At 32.8% G+C, this 25,869-nt stretch overlaps 1 long non-coding RNA gene across 1 annotated transcript in view; it reads right to left on the bottom strand.

The window, feature by feature from the left end:
- Window positions 1–12,985: 12,985 nt before the first annotated feature.
- Window positions 12,986–25,869, bottom strand: part of LINC00278 (long intergenic non-protein coding RNA 278) — a 99,277-nt gene continuing 86,393 nt past the window's right edge. Inside the window, exons 3-4 of the long non-coding RNA NR_046502.1 lie at window positions 18,202–18,263; window positions 12,986–13,173 (exon numbers count right to left, since the gene is read on the bottom strand). This is a non-coding gene — a long non-coding RNA (long intergenic non-protein coding RNA 278). The remainder of the gene's footprint in view (window positions 13,174–18,201; window positions 18,264–25,869) is intronic.

The raw sequence follows: 25,869 nt of genomic DNA, 5'->3' as shown, positions 1-25,869 counted from the left end.
TAAAGCAAAAGCTCAAAGTGAAGCTGTAGAGAAAATATTTTTGTTTCTGCATGCTAGGTTTTTTTTTAGTAAATCGTACTAAAACTTGGAATCTGAACTTATCAACAAGTCTAGAAGTTAAATTATGACAGATAATAGTGACAGACCACCTACAAGTAGTTTCCTTCTGAAAATATATATGTTGAGATTTCAAAGGAGAATGAAACTTTGGATTATAGAGAGATGTCTTGGGTTATAAAGATGGAGACATTTTATAAAGACACTAGTCTCATTTTTCTACTGGAGAAACTTATTTACATTACAAAGTGTGAGAGTAAAAACTAAGAATTCTTCTCAAGGAGAAAAGTATTTTTCTCCTTTCATTAGGGGATGACAAGAAACTCTCTCTTCTATATAAATGCCCAGATTTATACTTTTGGTATTTTTTACCTACTCCAATATGCACATGATGACATTTGTCTCTCATAGTTTTATGCTAGGGTTAAGCACTGAGGCAAAGGGAAATTAGCATAGCTACTATTATGTATATAATAATAATAAACCTGCCCTTATCCAGAAGCCTGGTATTTGCATTCAAAACAATATTAATATAATTATTAAAAATATAACACTAACACATATAAAAATTTGGTTCTTTGAAAAGATTGATAAAATGTTTAAACAAATAGTTAAGAAAAGTAAGAATTCCAAAGAAATACTAATACTAATGAAAAGATATAACCACAAATAGAGAAGAGGTTTAAAAGAGAATAAAAACATAGTATGAGAATACTGATATCTGTAAATTTGAAAACTCAGATGATATGGACAAATATCAAAAACTGATTTAACAAGTAGGAAACCTGATTTAGCTTAATTTAAAAAAAATCTTCACACAAAGAAGATTTTTTGGTAGGTCTAAATAATCTTCATGATCAATGCCAGATTCCTGTTTATTGGGGTCTTCTAATCATCCAAATTTTGGTGGCTTATCTAAAATTTGGTAGGGCACTATTACAAAAATTTGAAGGGAGAAATAATTCCAATTTTATATATACTAGTCAAAGAAATTGGAAAAATTAGATTATTCTTCAACTATGCTATAAAAAATAAAATCTTAATACCAAAATGAAACTTACAGTATTAAAAAATATAGACCCATGTTACTTATGAATTTAGAAGTAAATATTCTGAATAAAATATTAGTAAACAGAATTGAATAAACCCTTAAAAATATAGTAAATCATGACCGTTATGGTTAAAGAGTGATTTTATATAAGCAAATTTTCAAACATCATTCACCGCTTTAAGAGACTTGATGAAAAAATTGTATGATAATATCAAGAGTTACAGAGAAAGATTGAAGGTCAGTTCACTTAAAGTATAAGGAACAACAGTCAAGGAAACATTAACAAGCAAAATTTCTTGGCTGAAATAAAAACTTAAAAGGTTTTAATGGTCATCACAAATCAGATCTCAGACATCAACAGCAATCATCATTCATAATGGTAACCTAATAAAATTGTGCTCATTTAAATGAGGAAAAATAGAAGAAAATTCTCTATCTTCACTTCAGTTCAACCACATCTTGGAAAGCTCAGCCAGTTCACTACATCAAGAAAAATGCAAAGAAAAGCAGTAATGCATTATATGCATCTGATATTATTGTATGAATAGAAACACTAATAGAACTACAGATGCTCTATTAGATTTAATTAGAAAGTTTAACCAAAAAATCATAATCTAAAAATTAATAGCAATTGTCTACTCCAATAATTAGGAAATTCACTTTAAATATTTATTTAAGATAGCAACAATAACCCTGAAAAGATCTAGAAAAGTATAAAGTTTTATTCATTATCAACAAGAAACATCTATATAAATAGAGAGGCATAAAAATAAGTCAAATCTCCTCTCACTTATTTTTATAATAAGTGATATGACGAACAAAATTTGAACAGAATTTGAAGGGCACTTGGAAATTAATTTCTGAAATTGATGTGGGAGAGGAAGCAAAATGACATACACATTAAACTGTAAAAATAGTTAAGCTATTAGCACTATTTTGGGAACATAAATCAGTACATATAAACGTATTGCATTTCTGTACAACAGCCACAGATCTGGAAAGTATAATTTAAAAAAACTATCACTTACAATAGCAACATGCTGATTCTAAAACCTATATGGAAAGAAGTGATTCTAACATATACAATTGTATGTTGAAAAAGAAAATATCGTGGGAGAATTCAACCTTCAATATATCAAAGTACATTATAAAGTTATTGTATTTGTCAGGGTTTACCAGAGAAACAGAACCAAGTATGAGCTAGTTGATAATGATGATAACGATAGATAGATAGATAGATAAATAGATAGATAGATAGATAATAGATAGATATAGATAGATGATAGATAATAAATAGAGACAGAAAGAAAAGAAAATCAATTATAGAAAATTTCTTCATGCAATAATGAAGGTTGAGAAGTTCCATGATCTGTTGTGTGCAATCTGGAGACCCAGAAAAGCCAATGACATAATTCACTCTGAGTCAAAGACCTGAAAACCAGGGAAACTGAATCCCAGTTCAAGAGCCTTAGAAGATGAGATAAGATGCCCCAGCTTAAGTAGGCAGAGAGGAAGAAAATGAAAAAGTGAATTCCTCCTTCCAGGAATTAAAATGTTAATTTAACACTCAAACACCCTCATGACCACAGCAAGAAATTATATTTCATTTGGTCACCTCATAGCTCATCAAGTTGACACATAAAATTAACCATCACAATTACTTATATGTAACATAGAGAGTAGTAGTAACACAGAGATAGATCCATTAGGAAAAGATGGACTGATTATTCAATAAATTGTTATCACACACTCAGATATCCTTATGGAAAAATCATTCAAAATCCAAATTTTATAAGATTAATAAAAATCAACTTTGAATATATTATGGATTTAGATATAGGTGACTTTTAATCATTTAGCCATTGTATCATCAACTTCAGAAACATTTCTGCCAATTTTTAAGTCATTTTTACAGGCTCATTACCAATAATTCGCTGAAGCAAACTACCTATTTATATACACCCTGGGTTTCACTGTATATGTTAATTCACTCACAATAGTAATAAATAAGTTTCATTTATATCTACTACCATGTCACCCAGCTGTATACTCTTTTCTCCACCAGCTTCTGTGGCTCTTGCTCTCTATCACATAATTACATTACTAGCTTATAAGTGTTCATCCAGCACTCACAGGCCCCAGAGGCCTGCTGCTTAAAAGAGGTACTAGTTACCCATAGGACCTATAGCAATGGTATCAGAACGGTTTCTACCTCCACCACTGTGGTCTCCATCCATGGGAGAAGATCCCAATAAACAGTAATCTGGGCCAGGCGTGGTGGCTCACACCTGTAATCCCAGCACTTTGGGAGGCCAAGGTGGTCGAATCACTTGAAGTCAGTAGTTTGAGACCAGCCTGGCCAACATGGCAAAACCCCGTCTCTACTAAAAATACAAAAATTAGCCAGGCACAGTGGTGTGCAGCTGTAATCCCAGCTACTTGGGAGGCTGAGGCAGGAGAATTGCTTGAACCCAGGAGGTGGAGGTTGCAGTGAGCAGAGATGGTGCCACTGCACTCCAGCCTGGGTGACACGGTAAGACTCCATCTCAAAAATAAAAACAAAAACAAAAACAAACCAGTAATCTGGCACTGATCATGTAGAACACTGAATACAATACTGTATATATTCCCCCATGCCCCCAAAGCAGCATTGATGTTCTATTTGCCATATACATCACACCTGACCTACCTACTCTGCTCACCTCTGGGTTTCTGTTGAGGTTCTGATTTTTATGTTTTAAATGTATATCTGTCTTCACAACTATTGAAGCATAATTAAACTTTTGAAAAAATGTACTTACCAATGAAACAGAACAGGATGTTTTAAAAGTTAAAATGACACTCCAGCCTGGGCGACAAGAACGAAACTACATCCCCCCAAAAAAAAAAAAAAAGTTAAAACAAAATAAGTAAAAGGCAGAACTTTAGAACTTTCAGAAGAAAATATAGAGATATCTTTATGCTTTTGGGAGTAGAGATGGATTTCATGAGCTAGACCCATAAGAAAATGCTGCAACTGACTATATTACATTAAATAATTATTTTTATTATAAACACCATAAAAGGAGACAAAAATGACAATTCACAAAGCGGGTGAAAATATTTGCAATATTTATCACTTAAAAAGTCATCCCTATAAATTATATAATACCTGAAAATCAAAAAGAAAGGGACAACATACATAATTTTTGGAAAAAATAACAAAAACAGGAAAAGGAGTTACATAAAATAGGAAAAAAAGGTGTCAATATATACCTGAAATAATGCTGGAACTACTACTAATTAGAGAAATGTAAATCAAATCTACAAAGAAATATTTTAGCATGTTCAAAAGTCAGCCATAAAAATTATAAGTTTTAAGATGTCAGGTACACACCTTGACACGTATAGATTAAAGGAAACTGCTATAGACTCTTCATAAAAATGTAACTTGTACAAACAACTTAGCAAACAAATTGGAATTATCTTGTAAAGCTTAAAATTGAGGAATCTTACTCTCAGGTGCATATCTCAAAAACGTGTGTCTGTTTGCAAGTGACGTGTACACAAATGGTCAGGAGACCATTTGTATAACAATCAAAACCTGAAAACAACCCAAATGATGATCAATCAGAGAATACATAAATACATTGTAGTACGTGCACACAATGAATTTTACTACCACAGTAATATTAATGGGGCTCATGCATCAATCTAGATAAATGTTAGAAGCACAATTAAAACCACAAATCATAAAATTGTATACAATTTTAAAATGGTAAGCTGAAGTAAATTTTCCAAAATAAGGTCCACAGATTCATCTATAAAGTGAGAATATATACAAAATTTTGGATAGTCATTATTTTAACAATAAGAGGCATGGCTAGAACCATGTAAGCTTAGAAACTTGCATGTTATTGTTGTATAGGAATGCTACTGATTTTTGCACATTGATTTTGCATCCTGACACTTTGATGAAGTTGTTTATCAGATCAAGGAGTTCTTGGGCAGAGACTATGGGACTTTCAAGGTATAGAATTATATCATTGGTAAAAAGGGATAGTACGACTTTTTCTCTTCCTATTTGGATGGCTTTTCTTTCTTTCTCTTGCCTGAATGCTCTGACCTGGACATCCAGTATTATGGTAAATAGGAGTGGTGAGATTGGGCATCCTCGTCTTGTTCCGGTTTTCATGGGGAGTGCTTCTAGCCTTTGCCCATTCAGTACGATGTTTGCTATAGGCTTGTCATAGACGGTTCTTATTATTTTAGAGTATGTTTCTTCAATGCCCAGTTTGTTGAGGGTTGTTAACATGAAGAGACGTTAAATTTTGTCAAAAGTCTTTACTGCATCTGTGGAGATAATCATGTGATTTTTGTTTTTTTAGTACTGCTTATGTGGTGAATATCATTTATTGATTTGCATATGTTGAACAAACCATGCATCCTAGGGATAAAGCTTACTTGATTATGGTGGATTAGCTTTTTTATGTGCTGCTGGATTTGGTTTGCTAGTATTCTGCCGAGGATTTTTGCATCAATGTTCATCAAGGATATTTGCCTGAAGTTTTCTTTTTTTGCCGTGTCTCTACCAGGTTTTGGTATCAGGATGATGCTGGTCTCAAAGAATGAGTTAGGGAGGAGTATGTCGTTCTCAATTTTTTGGAATAGTTTTAGTAGAAATGGTACCAGTTTATTTACATACACACACACACACACACACACACAGATATACACATCTTGTAGAATTATGCTGTGAATCCATCTGGTCCTGAGCATTTTCTTGTTGATAGGCTTTTTACTACTGATTCAATTTTGGAAATAATTATTGATTTGCTCAGGGATTCAATTATTTCCTGCTTCAATCTTGAGAAGTCGTAGGGTTCCAGGAATTTATCCATTTCTTCTAAGTTTTCTAGTTTGTGTGCATAGAGGTGTTCACAGTAGTGTCAGGGTTTTTTGGGTTTGTTTTTGTTTTTGTTTTTGTTTTGTATTTCTGTGGGGTCAGTGATAATGTCCCCTTTGTCATTTCTGACTGCATTTGTTTTAATATTTCTCTATTTATTTATTAGTCTAGCTAGCAGCCTATTTTATTAATTCTTTCAAAGAACCAACTCCTAGATTCGTTGATTTGTTGGTGTGGTTTTTGTGTCTTAATTTTCTTCAGTTCAGCTCTGATTTTGAGAATTTCTGGTCTTCTGTTAGCTTTGGGGTTGGTTTGCTCTCATTTCTCTAGTTCCTCAAATGGTGATGCTCGGTTGCTCATCTGATATCTTTCTAACTTTTTGATGTGGGCATTTAGTGTCATAAACTTCCTTCTTAACACTGCTTAGCGGGGTCCCAGGGATTCTGGTATGTTGTACCTTTGCGTTAGTTTCAAAGAACTTCTTGGTTTCTCCTTTAATTTCATTATTTATCCAAAAGTCATTTAGGAGCATGTTGTTTAATTTCCATGTAATTGGGTAGTTTTTAGTGATTTTTTTTTCAGGCTTGACTTCTATTTTTATTGCACTGTGATCCAAGAGTCTGTTTGGTATAATTTCAGTTATTTTGCATTTGCTGAATATTGTTTTATGCCCAATTATGTGGTCAATTTTTGAGTATGTGCCACGTGGCAATGAGAAGAATGTATATCCTGGTTTCGGCTAGAGAGTTCTGTAAAGGTCTATCAGATCCATTTTGTCCATTGTTGAGTTTAGGTCTTGAATATCTTTGTTAATTTTTTGCTTCTATGATCTGTGTAATACTATCAGTAGAATGTTGAAGTCTCTCACTATTATTGTGTCGTAGTCTAAGTTTGTAGGTCTCTAAGAACTTGCTTTATGAATCTGGGCGCCACTGTTTTGGGTGCATATATATTTAGGATAGTTAGGCCTTCTTGTTGAATTGAGCCCTTTAGTGCTATGTAAGACTCTCCTTTGTCTTTTTTGATCTTTGTGGGTTTACAGTCTGTTTTATCTGAAATTAGGATTGCAACCCCTGCTTTTTTCTGTTTCCCATTTTCATTCTCCCCAGCAAAGCTTTTGGACTGGAAAACTGACCTAATTTCTGACTGTTCCCTCCCAGTGTCACTTGTCCACATTATGCCATGCTCTCTGGCAGCTGTGTTTCCATACAGCTCTTATGGAAATTACATTTAGTTTTTTAAAATATAAAATAGAATAGAAAATATAAGTGAGGCTAGAGCTGCATTTGAGTAAATGTTTTTATCTACACAATTCATATTACAGTGCAGGAAAATTCAATGGCCTATCACATAATAAAGTTAACAAATTTAACTGAATCATCCAGATAATTCTGGGTAAGGTATTTGTCTCTTATCTTCAAATGCTACTAAAAAGTAGAAATAACTATTATACTTTTAACTAATAAATTTAAAAATTATAAATGACTGAAATTTGGGTAAAAGGAACTTTTGCATCTCACATGTAATGATCTAGGAGGATAGTGCAATGTATGTATCACAATGAAGGGCATTCTGTGCAAAAATTAAGAGAAATGAATGGGAGAGTCTACCATCCCCACTTTCTTTCAGGGGGAATATATAATGAGCTGAATAAATCTTAAGAGATCATATACAATCTTAATATCACAGATTGGATGGAATGATAAGGTGACCAAGGTGTTGCTGTGTGCTGTGTGTGAAAATCTGCACTTTATTATCAAACGTCAATTGATGTACATGGTGCAAAACGAGGTGTGATTTTTCTTCCATTAGAGCAACTTAATTATGTTCATTTTTTAAAAGGTATATATATACTTTCAATACAATATTATCTGGGAGAAGCCATTCATTCAGATCTTTGTATTATTATAATATTATAGTTATAACTAATTATAATGATAACCTTTCCACATCTAGAATTATTCATTTATTTAAAATCTTAATATATGTACATTTTTCCTATGATGAGGCCACAAAAGATAATAAATGAGAAAGAATTATGCTGAGCGTAGAGCTGGAATCCTGGTGAGTACCATAAAATATAGTTTTTCTTAAAAGAAGAATCAGTCTAAACAAAGAAATTACCCCACCGCCAAGGAAAAGGGCCTTCAAATTGCCTATCCAGCAGCATTGCATAATTGCTATGAATCTTTCATTCTCCTTTATTCTGAATGGGAAATTTTTATTGTCATGATTTTGTTCCAGCCCCATTATTTTATATTTGGTGGGGTAGCAAATAAATTGTTTTGTAATTTTGTGCAACCCTGGGCCATAAAAAAATACCCAACTAATAAAATAACTGTGGTTCACTGGGTTTCACGTAAAAAAAAAAATATATTGTCCTAGATTCTGGTTTCACAGATTTATCTTTTAAAGTTATCCCTAAAAGAATATATATAAATTTTGTGCAATTTCCTATACATGTGTTATACTCCTCAATGAAAGCTGAAATTTTAAAAAGAGGAAAATTGAAAAAATTGGAATTAGAAACAAGTTAACATATATCTACAAAAATGATGCCAGTAGATCTACAGAATTATTTTAAATCTATATGCAGTGTTCAGAGGTTTTACCAAAACCACAAGAAAACAGGAATTGTTACAGTAAAATAATACAAAATAATATGGCAGGCAAATACTAATTAAAAAAGAGCTACTTTGGTTATATTAAAATCAGATAAAATAAATTTCAAGGCCCAGTGAACAAGAGATGATGGGGTTCAATTTGTCAGGAAGATATTAATATAATAGTTCTAACCTGACAGATCTGTATGATATACATTCATGCATGTACACACATACTTATATCTATGTTTATATTGATATATAGTTATAAATATATACAGATGACCTCTACTTAACTATGGTTCAACTTATGATTTTTTGCATTTGTGATGGGTTTATTGGGGTGTGACCTCATTGTAAGTCAAGGAACAGCTGAACTTATGATAGTTCAACTTAATATTTTTTTTTACTAACAATGTGTTTACTGGGGTATTAAATGCATTGTGATTTCCAAAATTTTTGAGTTATTATGAGTTTATCAGGGCATAAATCTATCATAAATCAAGGAGCATCTGTATATGTGCAAAATATGCTGAAAGTTACTACATCAGTGAGGATTTAAAAACATATCTTTCAGTAATTGATGGGTGAAACAGGTAAAAATTGTGATTAAGAATATTTGGGTAACATATAGTAAGAATGATCAAATGAGTATATATAGAACACTATACCAAAGAACTGACGAATATACAGTTTCAAGAAACAGGAAACATTCATGAAAATCAACAATATAATAGGAAATAGAGCAATTCTCAGTGGTTTTCCAATATTAATTTCATACACATAATAATATCTAACTGCAATGTTATTAATTTTTAAATAATACAAAGATAACTCACAATATCATAAGCTTGGAATTTTAAAAACACTTTTCTACATAAATTAATGCTAAATAAAAAATCCCAGTGGGGAATAAGTGATCTTTAGAATTGAAGAAAATAAAATAATATTACATATCAATAATCATGAGATGCATTTAATGCAAAAAGTGAAATATTTCTGGTAATTCAAGCTTAAATTTGAACAATTCTTACAGATTATTTTTAACTGAAGTCAATCCTGAAATTTTAAATGGAAGTACAGTCAAGGAACCAAAGGCCAAAGAGCCAAGTATAACCCAGAAGAAATAAGATACGAAAATTTGCTATAGCAGTGATTAAAATTTACTATCAAACAATTGCAATTAACACTGCATGGTGTGAGTGCAAGGATTGAAAGCTAAAAACACGTTAGAGAGTCAAGAAATAGACCTGCAAAAATATGAACACCAGATATTGTATAGAGGTAAAAGTATAGACTAGTCAGTCAGTGGCCCTGAGATAAGTATTTATCCGGAAACTATAAAGCAAGCAAAATAGTGTATCCGTCATGACATATGCAAAAGTTAATTTCCAGTATATCAGAGACTTAAATATGAAAGGCAAATTTAAATAATTTTTTCAGGAATATAAATGGAGGTATTTTTCTGATATATAGATAATTTTTAAGAGAAATAACATACTTAAGTAAAAGAAACTAGTAAGTATTGATAAGTTAATCTATTTTGAATTGTGGACTTTTCATCATCAAAAGACGCCATAAAAAGAATTTTCACGCTGAGAGCAGATCTTTGCAACATAAAAAACCAGTGTAGGATTAATGTCCATAACATATTAAGAAATTCATATAAACCAAAATGTCAAACCACCCAATTAAACTGCAGGCAAAAGATGCAAACAAGTATTTTATGGAAGAGAAAATCTGAATAGCAATAACATATAAAGGTGATCATCTTGTAACTGATGCAGTCATTCCATTTTGGAAACAAATAACTATTCTTTCTTTTACGATACCTAATTGTGTGCTTGCTTAAGAATTCCAAGAACTAACCCCAAGATAAAACCAAGGCTGTGAAATGTTCTTAATGGAAAAAAAATACTGAGCAGTTAATCTTCAATCTTATTAGAGGTTGGATGATGCCAGCTACACCTCTTGATGCCCATTCCTCATGACAGTCGTTGGAAAAAGACATTCTGAAATGCATAGCTAACTCCTGCACATAGTTTCCCAAGCCCTTTCCCCTTTAAAACCCCTATGTCCAGGCTGAGAAACTTGAGATGGTCTTTGCTATGCAAGTCCACCATCTCCTTGGATTGTCAGGTCCTGAATAAACCTGCTTTTCTCTTCCACCAACGCTTGCCTCTCAAGTTTTGGCTTTCAATTGGCAAACAACTGAACCTGAGTTCAGTTACAATCTCATTACTAATCAGGAAATTAAAACCACTGCGTAATACATTTACAATCTGATTTAAAGTATTACTCAATCATGTGAAGCCAAGGGAGCTATGGAAATGTAAAATGTTACAACTGTTCTAAAAAGCAAGTTAGAAATATCTTGGCAAAGCAGAATTTCCAAACAGCTGATGCTTAAACAACTCCATAACCAAATATGTACATTAAAGAATAAATATTCAAACTCATGTATGCTATAATGTACCTCAGGGGTAAACTCAGACAGATCTTCAGTTTCTATACATATTTCCTCCAAATATTGACCTCACTGAGAAGTCCCTGTTTCCGCTTTTGCAAGTCCTCAGTCATAGCTGCCAATCTCCAGTTTAACAAAATAAAGGTAGCCATTTCTCCTATCTGGAACATTACAATAGTACATTAGAGTGTACCAATCTGTAGAGCATCCTACAAGGAAACAGTATGAGCATACAAAGTTTCTGAGGAAGATTTTTATTGTGAAAGCAAACTAAAAAGATGTGTAAAAAATATTGCCTTTATTTCACCTAAGTACAAAACTACTATCAAAAATTTTTGTCTGTTTCAATCAATCACTCTATCAATCATTTATATATCTGCATACTGTATCTACCCAGGAATCTTTAAAAATGAGATGTTTAATGGGCATCTTAAGCTTTATTGGAGTTCAAAAGTGAAATTATTCTTATTGGTAATGCAAGTAATTTTTGATTCTCAGAGTGGGAACTGTTTTGCCAATTAGAGTATATAGTAGACATTTTCCCAAATTGTATGAGATAAAGCTATAGCTTTAAGGGTTTGAGGAAAACACATTTTTAAGACACATTTATAGTATGCTAGAAATTAAATATTTTTGCAATTCTTTTACATAAAAATATTTAGACACCAACCCAAACATATGTGAAGTGGACATAGTTTTTTTCAGTTGTATTAAAGAAAAAAGTTTGAAGATTGCTGCTGAAGAGATACTCCCATGTTCAATAGAAAATGTGCACATAATGTTCATAGCATCATTATTTGTAACATCAAAAAAATAGAAGCAACCAAAATAACCACTAGCCAGGGGATACATCGATATAATTGTGCTATTTTCATATGGTAGAGAACTGCAGAGCAGTGAAAATAAATAACCTACATATATATCAAGAATATGGATGAATGTATCTTGCAGATATTGTTGAGTAAACTAATAAGAAAATCAAGAATGTTATATATGCTGATTCCAGGAAAGTTGCTCTTTCCAGGGTTGTTGAAGGGAATGAGATTCATGAAAGCAAATGAAATGTTTCAAGACTATGAATAATCATCTATTTTTAAAAAAATAGTATGATTGTTAAATGGTTGTAGGTTTTATGATCCTTTTAAATGGTTAAAAGCTACATATGATTTTATGTGTCACATACATATCAACACACACACATACATATATCATATACCACACACAAACACACAGACAGACACACACACAGCCATATATAAAGATAAAACTTTCTACCAGAAAAGTAACCTCTGAAAATTTTAAAGATATTTGAAAGTATTATGTACATATATACTATGGTCAATGTGAAAAGGCATTCTGTTATTTTAAATCTGAAGGCACAGCTTAAATCATGTTTTTATTTTATTTAATTCAGAAAAAGTAACTAGTTTTTGAAATGCTATATTTGGTTTGATGCTAAAAAGTTAAGTGGGAACAGATGCAAGTAGTGTCTGTGGTGAAATCACTCAGAAAGAGTGAGCAAAATATGTTTAACATTCTTCTGAGAAAGGGAATGCCAAAATAATTCTGTCACATGGCTCTCAATTTTTAAAGATGGTAAAATATGACTATTCATTAGGAAGAATAGGGTTTCTAAATCTGGAGATTATTGGCATTTTGAGTTAGATAATTATTTGTGGTGGGGGGCTGACCTATGCATTGTAGGACCTTTCACAGCATCCATGGCATCTGCCTACTAACATCATCCACGCAGTTTTGACCATTGAATATGTCTCCATAAATAACACGTCTTCTGGAGAATAGGGGTGTGTAAAATCACCATAGTTAAAAAGCCCTGATCTAGTGTTAGGGAAATAATGGGATACACACACACACACACACACACACACACACACACACCATATTCATATTTTCAATATAAATATTCTGAATATAAATATACGTATTTTTAATATATTCCAATTAATATATCAGTTGAATATAAATATACATTGAATTACCATTGTTTATGACTGCTGTTGAGAGCGCCACTGGGAATCAAGCTTTTGAAAGTCATGTAGGCAACATGTAACAACAGTCTTAATCTATATCTCTTGTTCCAGAAATTCAGCTTTCAGAAAGGAAGAAATAATAAATGATTAATAGCAAATGTTGATGTCAATCTAAATCTCCATAATAGAAAAACTGTTAAACTGATCATTGGTAAAGACAAACAGTGGAAAACTAAACAATATTTTAGCTAATTACACTTAAAGACATGAAAATAACATATAATGTACAAAAGTCTCTTTTGCCATGCTAGGTGACATATTCACAGGTTTTGGGGATTAGATTGTGGGCATCTTTTGAGAGCATTATTCTGTCTACTACACAAACCCAGAACTCATCACTATCCTACAAGGTAAAAACTTGAACATTAAAGCAAATATTACAACTCAACTTCGGCTCTTTGAGGCAGAGACCAGAACTAAATGCTTATTTAATAAAAAGTGCACCCGGATGTGATTTTGTTAAAAGTAATTAAAATGACAGAAAACATACCTTACAAAACATGAACAGAAAATAAAATCCAAAAGAAGATAGCAAAAACACCAAAAAGTATAATGGCTATTTGTCATGCTTATAAATCAATAATAGAAGTTTTGTATGATTAGTATTGCTTTAAGAGTAGTTATGTTATGCAAAATTATTTGTTATAAAAGGAGCTCTTCTGTATAACTTTCATTGTCTTTTAACAGAGCATACACATTTGCTTTTTGCTTTGTTATACTACTTGAATAGTGTCTTCAAATAGCTCTAAGAAAAATGGTTATCAAAAAAAAGAAGCTACACTATTAAGAAGTAGTAGTCACTACAGAAAATATTATTAGCTCCTTTTGCTTTAAGAGAAAATACTATATTGAATTTGTGTAAATGAGACAGTTTTCTATGTTGGCACATATTTAACACTAATCTATCTCTAAGGTACAGTAGTCTTCCATTACCCTTGTTTTCATTTTCTGGGGTTTCAGTTACCCACCATCAACTGCAGTGTGAACATATTACATACAATAAGATATTTTCAGAGAAATAAGATATTTTGAGAGAGAGAGAAAGAGAGAGAGAGAACTACATTCACATAACTTTAATTACAGTGTATTATATTATTATGACTTCTATTTTATCAGTTAGTGTTAATATCTTATGGCGTCTAATTTATAAATTAAATATCATCATAGATGTGTGCACAGGAAAAAACATACTACATATAGGGTTCAGTATTAACAGTAGTTTCAGGCATCCACTAGGTATTTTGGAACCTATGCCCCACAGATAAGCAGGACCACTATCATATTTTCCTCTGAAATCATTTTTGATAAATTCTATAACTTGTTTTTATTTATATCTTTTTTATATCCTCAAAGCTCCTTTAGTTTTCATTAAAAGCTTGCCAATTGCTTGATTTGCCACATAATTCTGAAAGATCACACTCATGACTGTGTCAAGGCTTAGAAAGTACTACATTGAAAAAATGACACCTTGGTTGTGACTCTCTGATCTCGCTTCTCCCCTAATGATCCTCATGGAACAGGGGTCCTGCTCCATACTCTAGGGGAAGAAATATCATACAGAGATGCAGGAAATAATCTGAACAAACAGTCCTTGCTGAAGTTTATCTCAGTTTATATAATATCATTAGATTATACTCTTTTTTTCCTAATCATGTTTTTTCACAACTATCGACTTTTTTCTTCATACTCAGCATAAAAATACACCATTTTCTCTAGGTTTTTTGGTTTGCATTGATTTATGAAGGCTCTCATGTCACATAAAACTTTGGTTAAATAAATAAATGATGATTTTCTCTTGTTAATCTGTCTTTTGTTATAGGGGTGTTGGCTATGAACACCCTTGTGATGGGAGAGGAAAACATATCACTTTTTTCTCCCCTACAACAGGTGGTCAATCTTTCCTTCAATTCTTCTCTAATATTTTAAAAGTAGGGTTTGTGTATCTTTAAGAGCCTATCTCTCTGGATGTCTACAAAAACAAGATATGGTATACGGTTTAAGCATGTTTTTTTTTTTTTCTCAAGATAGACAGTCATTCTGAGGGGAGAGAGACAAAAATACTGAACATGAGTCCAATTATTTTAATGTTTAGCTCCCTAATATAATTGCATTGTTTGTAGCACAAAGGATAAATGCTTGAGTCGAAGGAAACCCCATTTACCCTGATGTGATTATTATGCATTGCATGCCTGTATCAAAATATCCCATGTGACCCATAAATATATATACCTACTATGTATTCACAAAAATTAAAAATAAACACAATTTAAAATACAAAATGAAATAAAACATTGGACATTTAGAAAGAAAGACAAGGTATAAAAAAACTCTGGTGATAATCAAATCACTGGCCATCCTTTGTTTTTTTCTCCTTCCATATTTTTATTATTTTATAAGGTCCCTGGGATTCTTCCAGTACACTTTGATTTGTGCTTAATTTCATTTTCTGTAACTCACAATCAAGAGTCATTGAAAATAGAAGAGAAAAACCAGTGGACACCTGTGATAGTAAATTTTAGTTGTTGACTGGATTGAAGGATGCCTAGATGACTAATAAAACATTGTTTCTGTATTTGTCTGTAAGGGTGTTTTTGGAGAAGAACTGGTATGTGAGCCAGTCAACTAAGTGGGGAAATTCCACCCTCAACATGGGCAAACACCATCCAATTGGCTAAGGGCTCTTATTAAACAAAAAAGGGTAGAAGGGTCAATTATATCTTTCTCTCTTTTGGAGTAGCACACCCTTCTGCTGCCCTTGAGCATCAAAACTCTAGGTTGTTCTGCCATTTGACTCTGGGAATTGCACTTGCAGTCTACTGGGGCTCTCCTGCCATTGGACTCAGATTGAGACTTCCATCGTTGGCTTTCTCGGTTCTTAGACCTTCCAAATGGGACTGAGCATGCTAGTAGTTTCTCTGGTTCTTCAGCTTACAGATGATCTAGTGTGGGACATCTCAGCTTCCATAATAATTTGAGCCAATTCCCCTAATAAACCCCTCACATATATTTATTTTCCTATCTATCTATCTATCATCTATCTATCTATCTATCTATCCATCTATCACCTATCTATCTTTATATCTATTTATCTTTTTATTCTGTGTCTCTGGAGAATTTTGAGGAATACAGAACCATAAGTAAAACATTTTTGTGTGTTTTTTCATGAAACGATTCCTGAAAACGTATTCCCATGACCAGGCCTAATCTTAAAAGTTTTTATTAGCCTATTAATAGAGCTGACATCACCACAATTTAAAACTTCTTAAGTTGGAATCACTCATACTTTTCTGTATAATTAATAAAGTGTTCATTGAAGAAATGATTCGCTCAATAAGATAAACTGCCCACACCTGGATGGAGCAACAGGCATAAAATAAGTAAGATAACATAATAAGAGTTGTAGCAAAACAAAACAAAACACCTATAGGGATTAAGGTGGGGAAAGGAGTAGTTCCCAGAAAAATAGTTTAGTTCCCCATAAAGATAAAAGGGGCATGTGAGATTAAACCAAAAAATAATTTCTGTCTACTACAGCTTGTCATACCATTTGTGAATGAAATGTGAAGAATGATATCCTGTCATTTGCAACATAGATGGAACTGGAGGTCATTAGGTTAAGTGAATAAGCCAGGTCAGCAAGAAAAACTTTGCATGTTCTCATTTATCTGTGGGAGCTAAAAATTAAAACCATTAAACTCATAGAGATAAAGAGTAGAAGGATGGGTACCAGAGACTGGGAAGGGTAGTGGGAAGATTGGGGCAGAGTGACTATGGCTAATGGGTGCAAAAAATAGTTGGATAGAATGAATAAGATCTAGTATGTCATAGCACATCAGGGTGACTATAGTCAATGCTAATTTATTATACATTGAAAAATAACTAGAAGTGTAGAATTAGATTGTAATACAAAGAAATGATAAATGCTTGAGGTGATGGATACTCCATTTAACCTGATGTGATTATAATGCATTGTATGCCAGTATCAAAATCACTCATGTGCCTCGTAAATATATGCCCTACTATGTGCCCACAAAAATTAAAAATAAAAAGAAATTTAAAAGATCAAAATGGTAAAAGTGAATGTGTCTCAAAAAGCCTAAGAGTAGGAGATCAAGGAACCCATAGCATAAACACCTATTTTGCTTTGATAATTTTGTTACCAGCTAACATCCTGGACTACATGTATAATGTAAAGACATAAACTAAATTTGAAAACATTTCTTTACCCAAGCAAAATAAAGCAAACACATGAGGAAATAAAACCCCTACCTAACTGTAATAAAAAGACCAAAAAAATTTCCAAAACTTTCTAAAATGTATGATTTTATTAAGTGTTCTGTTGAATTAAAAGAAGGAAATTGAACAAAAGGGCAGTATTGCTCCTACAAAATGCTCTCCAGTTTTTATTTTAAACTATGACTCAGAAACAAATTAAAGATGCACTTAATCATATTCAAATTCAAAGAGCATAACCATAGGCTGACGCTATTTTATTTTTTTCTTTCCGCCCCCTCCGGTCTTGATAATGCCATGACAACTCATATCAAGTAGAAAATGTTTTGAATATAGTGAGCATGCACACTAGTAATGCTTTAATTATCTTAATGAGTGCAAAAGATTTCTTATTACAGACAAGGGAACAAAATTGCTTTTTACAGATTTACAACTGAGAACAATGAGAAAGTTAATGAGCTATTTATGAGAAAATGCATTTTAAAGAATAATATTCTGGATTCTCACAGATGTAAAAGGCATCTGTCACAAATTTCTAGTATCTTGAAAATGTTTCAGACTCATTGAGAAATCATATTATTAATATTTAGGACTAATGGCAAATTATCATATGTGTAATGTTGTCTGTGATACTATATGTAATGTAAACCGAACACACTTGCAAATTAATTAATATGTCATTTACAATTATCTTCGTGAAGACACAGTCAGGTATAATCAAGCTTAATGCACATATCAGATTTCACGTATCTGATTATAAATTAATCTTTAGCTGTAGGACAAATGACTACAAAATGGCAGTGTAAGTATGGCACATAGGACATGAAATATTAATGAGAACTAGTTGTACTTACCTCTCAACAACATCTAAATAGGAATCTGTTTGCAGACCTTGAGTGGTTGTAGCACATTTCTACTACAGAAAAGAAAATAAATGCAGTGAACTTTTAAAAATCTCAGTAAGCCCGGCTTTCAAATGTATAATTTACTATTTTATTGGCTGCTTATAAATGGATAATAATAAGCTCCTGGCTGAATGTAAGCTCATAAATGCAGGATCAAAAATGAGGAGAATGCCATAAGATAATAAAAGTATAAGTTTATGGTACTAATTTTCCTCTAAGTAACTACAGTGTGAGTAAAAAAAATACAACTATAGTGGTAAAATGTGAATAGAAATTTTGATATTCTGCTTGTGCAGAACAAGGTTTTTATAGGAAAAGAATCTTTGGAAATATAATCACCCATACTTCTGTAACAATGCAGGATCAGCCAGTACTAAGATTGCTGCTTAGGTTGGATGGCTTCAATGGGTAATAATTTTCATATTTATTACTATTTGTTTTTTTGATATATTCCTAAATCTCAAGCATGTATGGATTAGCTAGTCATGTTAATCAACGGTCATGAATATAGAAATATTTTCTCTTAGTGTTTTGATAGAACTATTAATATTTTTGTTCTTTATTGCTCACGTATTTTTAAATACAAAAACAAATATGTATATACATATATGTGTGTGTGTGTGTGTGTGTTTACATATATAACTATTTTGGTACTAATGAACATTGTCACAAATAAATTGTAATTACATAATAGAATTAGTGATCTTATTAGTATTTTATTTATTATACTGAATATAGTTTTGTCCAAGTTGACTTAAATACATTGGCATCCAGGATATTACAAAGATTTGAAGATGTTAGCTGAAATCAACTTTATTTAATTTAGTAAATCTTCATTGTGATGCCATTGTGGTAAAAGAAAACAAAGCAGAAAGGATATTTACCCATTTTTATACATTAATTATGAACTAATATTTTTCTGATTATACAAAAAATAAAGACGATTTGAAATAAACTGTTTTAAATATATCAATAGCATTTGGGAAATTATAAAGTTTGTACTGGCTTTAGACATCACTCACAGGTATCAGGCATTTCACATAATTATTTCTAAGACTCCATGATATCCAGACTCATATGGCCAGATACCTACTAAAAATTTGTACATAGATATCTAATGGGCATCAAAAACTTAACGCATGCAAAACTGAGCTCCTGGTTTTCCCTCAAAATCTGCTCCTCCCAACTGCTTTCTCCTTCTCAGTAAATGGCAGTGCCATCATTAGATCTGCTAAGAACAAAAATCTTGAATTCATTTGTTTTACTTAGAATTTAAGCTAAAATACAAGTAATGGAGACCTGATTACAGTGGTTTAAACACAAGAATGATTTTTTCCTATTTGACAAATATTTTAGATATAGACAACCACTGTTACCAGTTTAGGGCTTAAAATGCATCATTTGCAAACATCTTGGTATTTTAGTCCATATTCCAGATAGCAGAAAGGAACAAAAGATGAGTACATGCTATATAATGTGCATATTTCACGTTGCATGCCTGTATCAGAGTATCTCATGTACACCATGAAGATGGACCTCTACTATGTACCTACACAAAATTTTAAAAACAAAAAAATTTTTAAAAAGAAAAGATGAGTACAATAAAGTAAACATTCTAGCTAAGCAACTCATTTTAAAGTGCATTCCCAAAAGCTCCACCAGGCAATTTTATCATTGCATTTTCTTGGCTACTTTCATTTGAAAGAGAAGCTGAGAAATGAATTCTCTTTCTCCTCTTCCTTCTTCCCCTCCTCCTTCTCTTCCTTCTTTTATAACTTGAAAATATTCCCACCTCCAATAATAAGGATAATTTGTTATTAAGAAAGAAAATGGCAAGCAGTCAGCAGTCTCTTTTTAATTATTCTTAAAGCCTTTCTCTTAAGCCCTACTTCCAGCCCACAAGAAAACACTGTCATCTCTTCCACGAAAAAAAAATCATCTAAAACTCGACACTTTTCACCCCTTCAACTGCTACAGCTTTGCTCCAAGCCAGTATCTGTCACCTGTGTTATGGCAATAGCCTCTAATTAGTCTCTGTTTTGGCCACCACCACGCTATGATCTATTCTCAGTGTGGCAGCCATACTGATTCTTCTAAAATGTTTTGTCATACCTCTCCACTGCTCAAAACTTTCCAATGCTTTTTATTCCACACAAAGTAAAGTTAAGAGTCCTAATAGCAAGTTAAAAGGTATTACTTCAGAACTCTCTATTTTCAGCTCCTACTGTACTCTCCCTTCTCTCTTATATATTTGAAAACACAAGGTATCATTCAAGGGCAGTGTCCACAATGAAGGGAGGCAAAAAGAATACTACATGGACATGAGATGATGACGGAAATATTTAAAGGAGGCAGTATTAGGCCCCCTGGGCACTGGGCATATGGATAGATAGAATTATAAGATTGAGAGTGTAAGTGAGGAAAACAAACAAACAAAATGTGTTTCTGTATCACTTATTATTTGGAACTCTGGAGGAAGACATCATTACAGTATGTTACATGCCAACATGAGATAGTTCAATGGAGTACAGTTGAATATATTTTATGTTCTGGTAAATAGAGTATCTAAGATGATTTATTTCTCTGTTTCACATTGTCCCAATGGGCCATGGAGTAGAACCAGAAATTTCTGCATGCCCTACCTAATGGGAAGGTGTAAGAGTGTTGAGAGAACTGATGGCCAAAATAGGCCCGGGCTTATGACAAGGAAGGTTCAAAGTCTGTGATTCTTATGAATACAGGCCACTGCACATTCCAGAAATGTCAGCAGTCAAAGTTAGCATATGTCCAAAATTTAGGACAAGCTCAGTTGCAACAAAGTAGTTAAGGTAGGGACAGAGGGTGGCACCACAGACCAGTTGTGATAAGTCATTCTAGCAGACATTGATGATGCTCCAGAGGATAGTACATAAATAAGACATCACTCCCAATGTTTTGCAATTTCTTCTGCACCCAGGCACAAGCAGAAACAAGAATATAGGAGTATAACACTAATAAATGCTTGTACTGTATAGGATTTGAATGTGTACAATTTTTTATTTACTCACTAAAACTCAAAGTGCAGAAATATTACTTCTTGTATTTCCTTTATAAGTGATGTCATAGATGGCCCATGACAAAATGGAAAAGTAGACAGAAGAGGAAGTTTGCCTTTTAAAATAACATCATTTTTCCGTATTACTTGAACCTCTTTCAGTACTCAGGACTTCACAGGCAAAGGAGCAGCACGTCTGGTTAATAAAGAAAAATAATATTTCTTTTTAAGGAACTGAATATGTTAGACCTCCAGAGAACATCTGAATTTTAAAATGAGGGACATCTGTAGAGTATGATATCTAAAAGAAGTTAGTAGAGGATTTTAGTATTTCATTATGCAAGTCATATATATTTAGCAAAGGAGCTCTGTATTGACACAATTCTCATCAAACTTTATAAAGCTAACTCCCTTGCCTATTCTGCCTATGCAAAAATTCTGTCCATAAAGGCAGGATAATATATTTGCTACTTATCTTCAAAGGAAACAGAAGACCTGCTAAGCCTGGAATTGAAGAATATTTAAGGAAAGGACTATTCCGCAAATTATGGCAAGATTAAGAGAACCAATGAGGCAGATTGAGGCATCTGGTAACTAGCAACAGAAAGAAGTCCTTGTAACCATTAGCTCTCAAGGGACAAAAAGGAAGAAATGGTGATATTGAGACCATTAGCTCTAACAATGGTTAGAGCTAAAGCCATACAAAGGAGGCTGCCAAACAGGAGCTATATTTACTCATTTTTTTTTGTTCTGTGCACCTCTTTGTCAGTAAAAAAAAAATGGATCCCTTCACAGAATACTAATTTTAAATGCCAAAATAAAATACATAGGATTAAGAAGCAAAGGAAAGTAATCTCACAGTTGATAGACAAGTATTTCTTAACATAAGAAAGTAATCTCAGAGCTGACTGACAGGTATTCCAGAATCACAGAGACTTGCTTTTTCCAAGCAGTAAGTACATTAGTTTGTTGGATAATACCCTCTAAATATAATCAAATGCAAATTTTGTAAGTTTAGTTAGTCTTTGATATTTGCACAGAGAGATTAATTTGGGGGGCTGATTTACTTAAATGTTGTGATTAGAAAATTAGTTGTTAATTATATCAAATTTACTTTTATCATTAAGATCATTTTTCATTTTTATCAAAATGGTGAATTAGCTAAAATAGATAAAACTATGACTGTATGATCTCTGCATTCCCAGGTTAATCTTAATTGATCATGATGTAATTTTTATGCATGTATTACAGGAGGCAGTGCAGTTACATATTATCAAAAATGTGTGTGTCAGTGTCTATCAGTGAGGTGAATTGGTATTCTTATTTTCTCCTAGATCTGTCTTTGTCAGACATTGGTTACAATGTTATGATGATTTAGTAATAATGAAAATAAACAAAGTAGCACACTACCAGTGTGCTAAGCATATTTCACTTATTCTTGAATCTTGAAAAAAAAGCATAATTTTTTTCTTTGTTCTCTATACTTAGGAATAGCTAAATAGCAACAAAATTATCTGTTCTTAAACATACTGCAAAAACTGCCTGCAAAATTTTCTGGGCCAGAAAAAATTCATAGTATAACCCTTTGAAAATGTACTCAATATTGTATATAATACTCATCTGAGTAGCTTTTCTATTGCTTCTTGAGTCAATTTATTGGTAATTATAATTTTCTTACAAATTAATCATTTTACTCAAATTTGTATAAAGTCAGTTCAAAGAATAATTTTACTTTTATTTGCTTTGTTGAGTGTTTTTCTGTTACTCTGTTTTTCATTGTAATTGTGGGCTTTTCTCTTCATAAATTTTATTTTGCAATTGATCTCACTTAGAATAATCTATTGTCTATTAGTTCACTTTTTCTAATACTTCAATATAATATGCATATTTCTTCACTTTTACTTAGGGTTTTTTTTTCTTTCTTTTATCTTTCTTTTTTTTTTTTTTTTTGAAGACCGAGTCTTGCTCTGTCGCCCAAGCTGCAACGGTGCTGTCTCAGCTCACTGTAACCTCCACCTCCTGGGTTCAAGCGATTCTCCTGCCTCACCCTCCTGAGTAACTGGGACTACGGGTGCACGCCACTACACTGGCTAATTTTTGTATTTTTAGTAGCCATGGGGTTTCACCATGTTGGCCAGGATGATCTCGACCTCCTGACCTCCTTATCCACCCACCTCAGCCTCCCAAAGTGCTGGGATTACAGGCGTGAGCCACCGCGCCCAGCCTACTTAGGTTTTTATCTTAAGCAAAACAATTAAATTTCTCCTTTTATTGTGTTTAGAAAGAAATTTGTTTAAAAGCTATAACGTATCTACTGTGCTTATCTCATGAGCTGTGATAATCTCCTGATTATTTTCTGGATAGACATAAGTGCTAGTGTTGATTTACTCATCAACCTACAAGTTGTTCAAAAGAGAGCTCCCCACTGTTCTATCCATGGTTCAATGTTTTTGTTTTCTTACTAAGAACTAAAGTTCTCTGTTCATCCATTATGTAAGATGTGAAAATGCAAAACTCCCACTCCCATCAATGCAATTAAAACTATGTATAATGTTTATTGTCTGATAATTTTTTTTCCTTGCATACATGCTCATTTTAACAAACCAACTAGAGTGCTTTTCTTTAAGAATGATGACATGTAGTGTTTCACAGAGACACTCCCTTGTGAAAAATGCCTAACTAGCATAAAAACATTTAAAATCACAACCACTTAATGTCCCTAGAAATCGTCCTAATTAACAAAACTAAGTTATTTTAAAAATCTACTAAAACTTAATAAGAGCACAGAGACCCCATGGTATCTGAGACCTTCTCCTTCACCTATCCTGGGCTCATCTTGACAGAAATTTTATATCAGGTGGATATAGCCAAGAAGATAGACTCTCTACTCTGAAATCCAAATTAAGGTTTACTCTATCTCTCACCTAGAGGGGTAGGTCATCAACATGTTTTATCTCCTCCAACTCCTAGTTAAAGAGGCCAAATTAATAGTGAGTGTGACCAAGAAGTGGGACCTTTTACCTACACCCAGTCTCTACATAGAGGATAGAAGCTCTAACCCCAATGTGGTAAGCTGAGAATTCTGGGACCCCCAAATGCTCTTGCCCTAGCTCATTTATTGGGCAGTTTCCATGTTAGGAGAGGCAAGCATAAGAGAACACAGTCTAGTGGCCTGCCTAGTGCCCAGAGTAGTTAGTCATATAGTTAGCCAGAGAGAAGGGAAGAGTATAAGGAAAGAGAGCTATGAAGCTCCCCTTACAAAATATGACTTTATAGAACATGTAGGAGTTTTAAATTAAGGACACTCTCAGTAGCAATGGCTCTTCTCAATCAAGATCAGCAATCTGAAACATAGGCCAGATACTTTACCAGAATGTATGAAAAAATGTAGCTAAGAATAGCGACCCTAAAGTCATGACAAAGTTTAAAGACTGGCCTTAAATACTATTCCTGACCCAACTTAACTGGATCAAATTGCTGAGCAATAGTTCACTCAGGGTATTGCTGAATACAATAGAGAAATCAGCTGATAATGAAGCTGAACTGGAGGGAAATAATACCAAATGACGCAGAGAGTTTTACAGAAAAAATATGAAAAGAGATAATCAAAGAGATCTCTGACAAAGCCACTACAATCTCAGGGTGATTATACACAGCCATGTAGGTGACTTCAAAGGAGGAACACAAAAGGCTTCAAACTGCTGTAGTGATCAATTTCACTAAAATGGCCTAGCCAGGTTAAAAATCATAATAATAACAAAGTAAGCAACAACAGAAACAGAGACAGGAAAAAAAAAAACTTAGTACCCCAAATTGCCACAATATATGACCTATAACGTTCAGTTATCAAAAAACTACAAGATATGCAAATAAATAGGAATATGTGAATGATACACAGAAAAAAGGAAACAATGGGAAAAGTATGTAAAAATGAGGAGCTATCAGATATAACAGAAAAAGACTTAAAGGAGCCATGATAAATATGTTCAAATAACTATCATGAAGATCTCTATTAACAATTGAACATCAAATGTAGAAGAACTAGAAAAGTAAGCATAAACCAACTCAGAAGCAAGCAGAAAACAAAAGAAATAAGCAAAATTAGACCTGAATACAATTGACACAAAAAATACAGAAAATTTTTATAAAACTAGGTTTGTTTTTTGAAAGAATAAATAAGATTGATGGACTGCTAGCTAGAATAATAAAGAAAAGAAAAAAAAAGACAAGATCCAAGTAAATACAACCAAAAATGACAGAGGACATTATCACAACATTCACAGAAATACAAAAATCATCAGTGACTATTACAAACACCTCTATGAACACAAACTAGAAAACCTAGAAAAAATGAATAAATTCTGAGAAGCATACAACCTCTCAAAATTGAACTAGGAAGAAATTCAAATGCTGAACAGACCAATAATGAGTTCCAAAATTGAATCAGTAATAAAAAGCCTACCAACCAGAAAAAGCCCAAAACCAGATTAATTAAAAGCTGAATTCTACAAGATGTATAAAGAAGAGCTGGTACCATTCTAACTGAAGCTGTTCCAAAAACTTAAGAGGAGGGATTCCTGCCT

Source organism: Homo sapiens, chromosome Y, assembly GCF_000001405.40.
Source record: "Homo sapiens chromosome Y, GRCh38.p14 Primary Assembly".
Lineage (NCBI taxonomy): Eukaryota > Metazoa > Chordata > Mammalia > Primates > Hominidae > Homo > Homo sapiens.
This window is presented reverse-complemented; position numbering and strand designations above follow the sequence as displayed.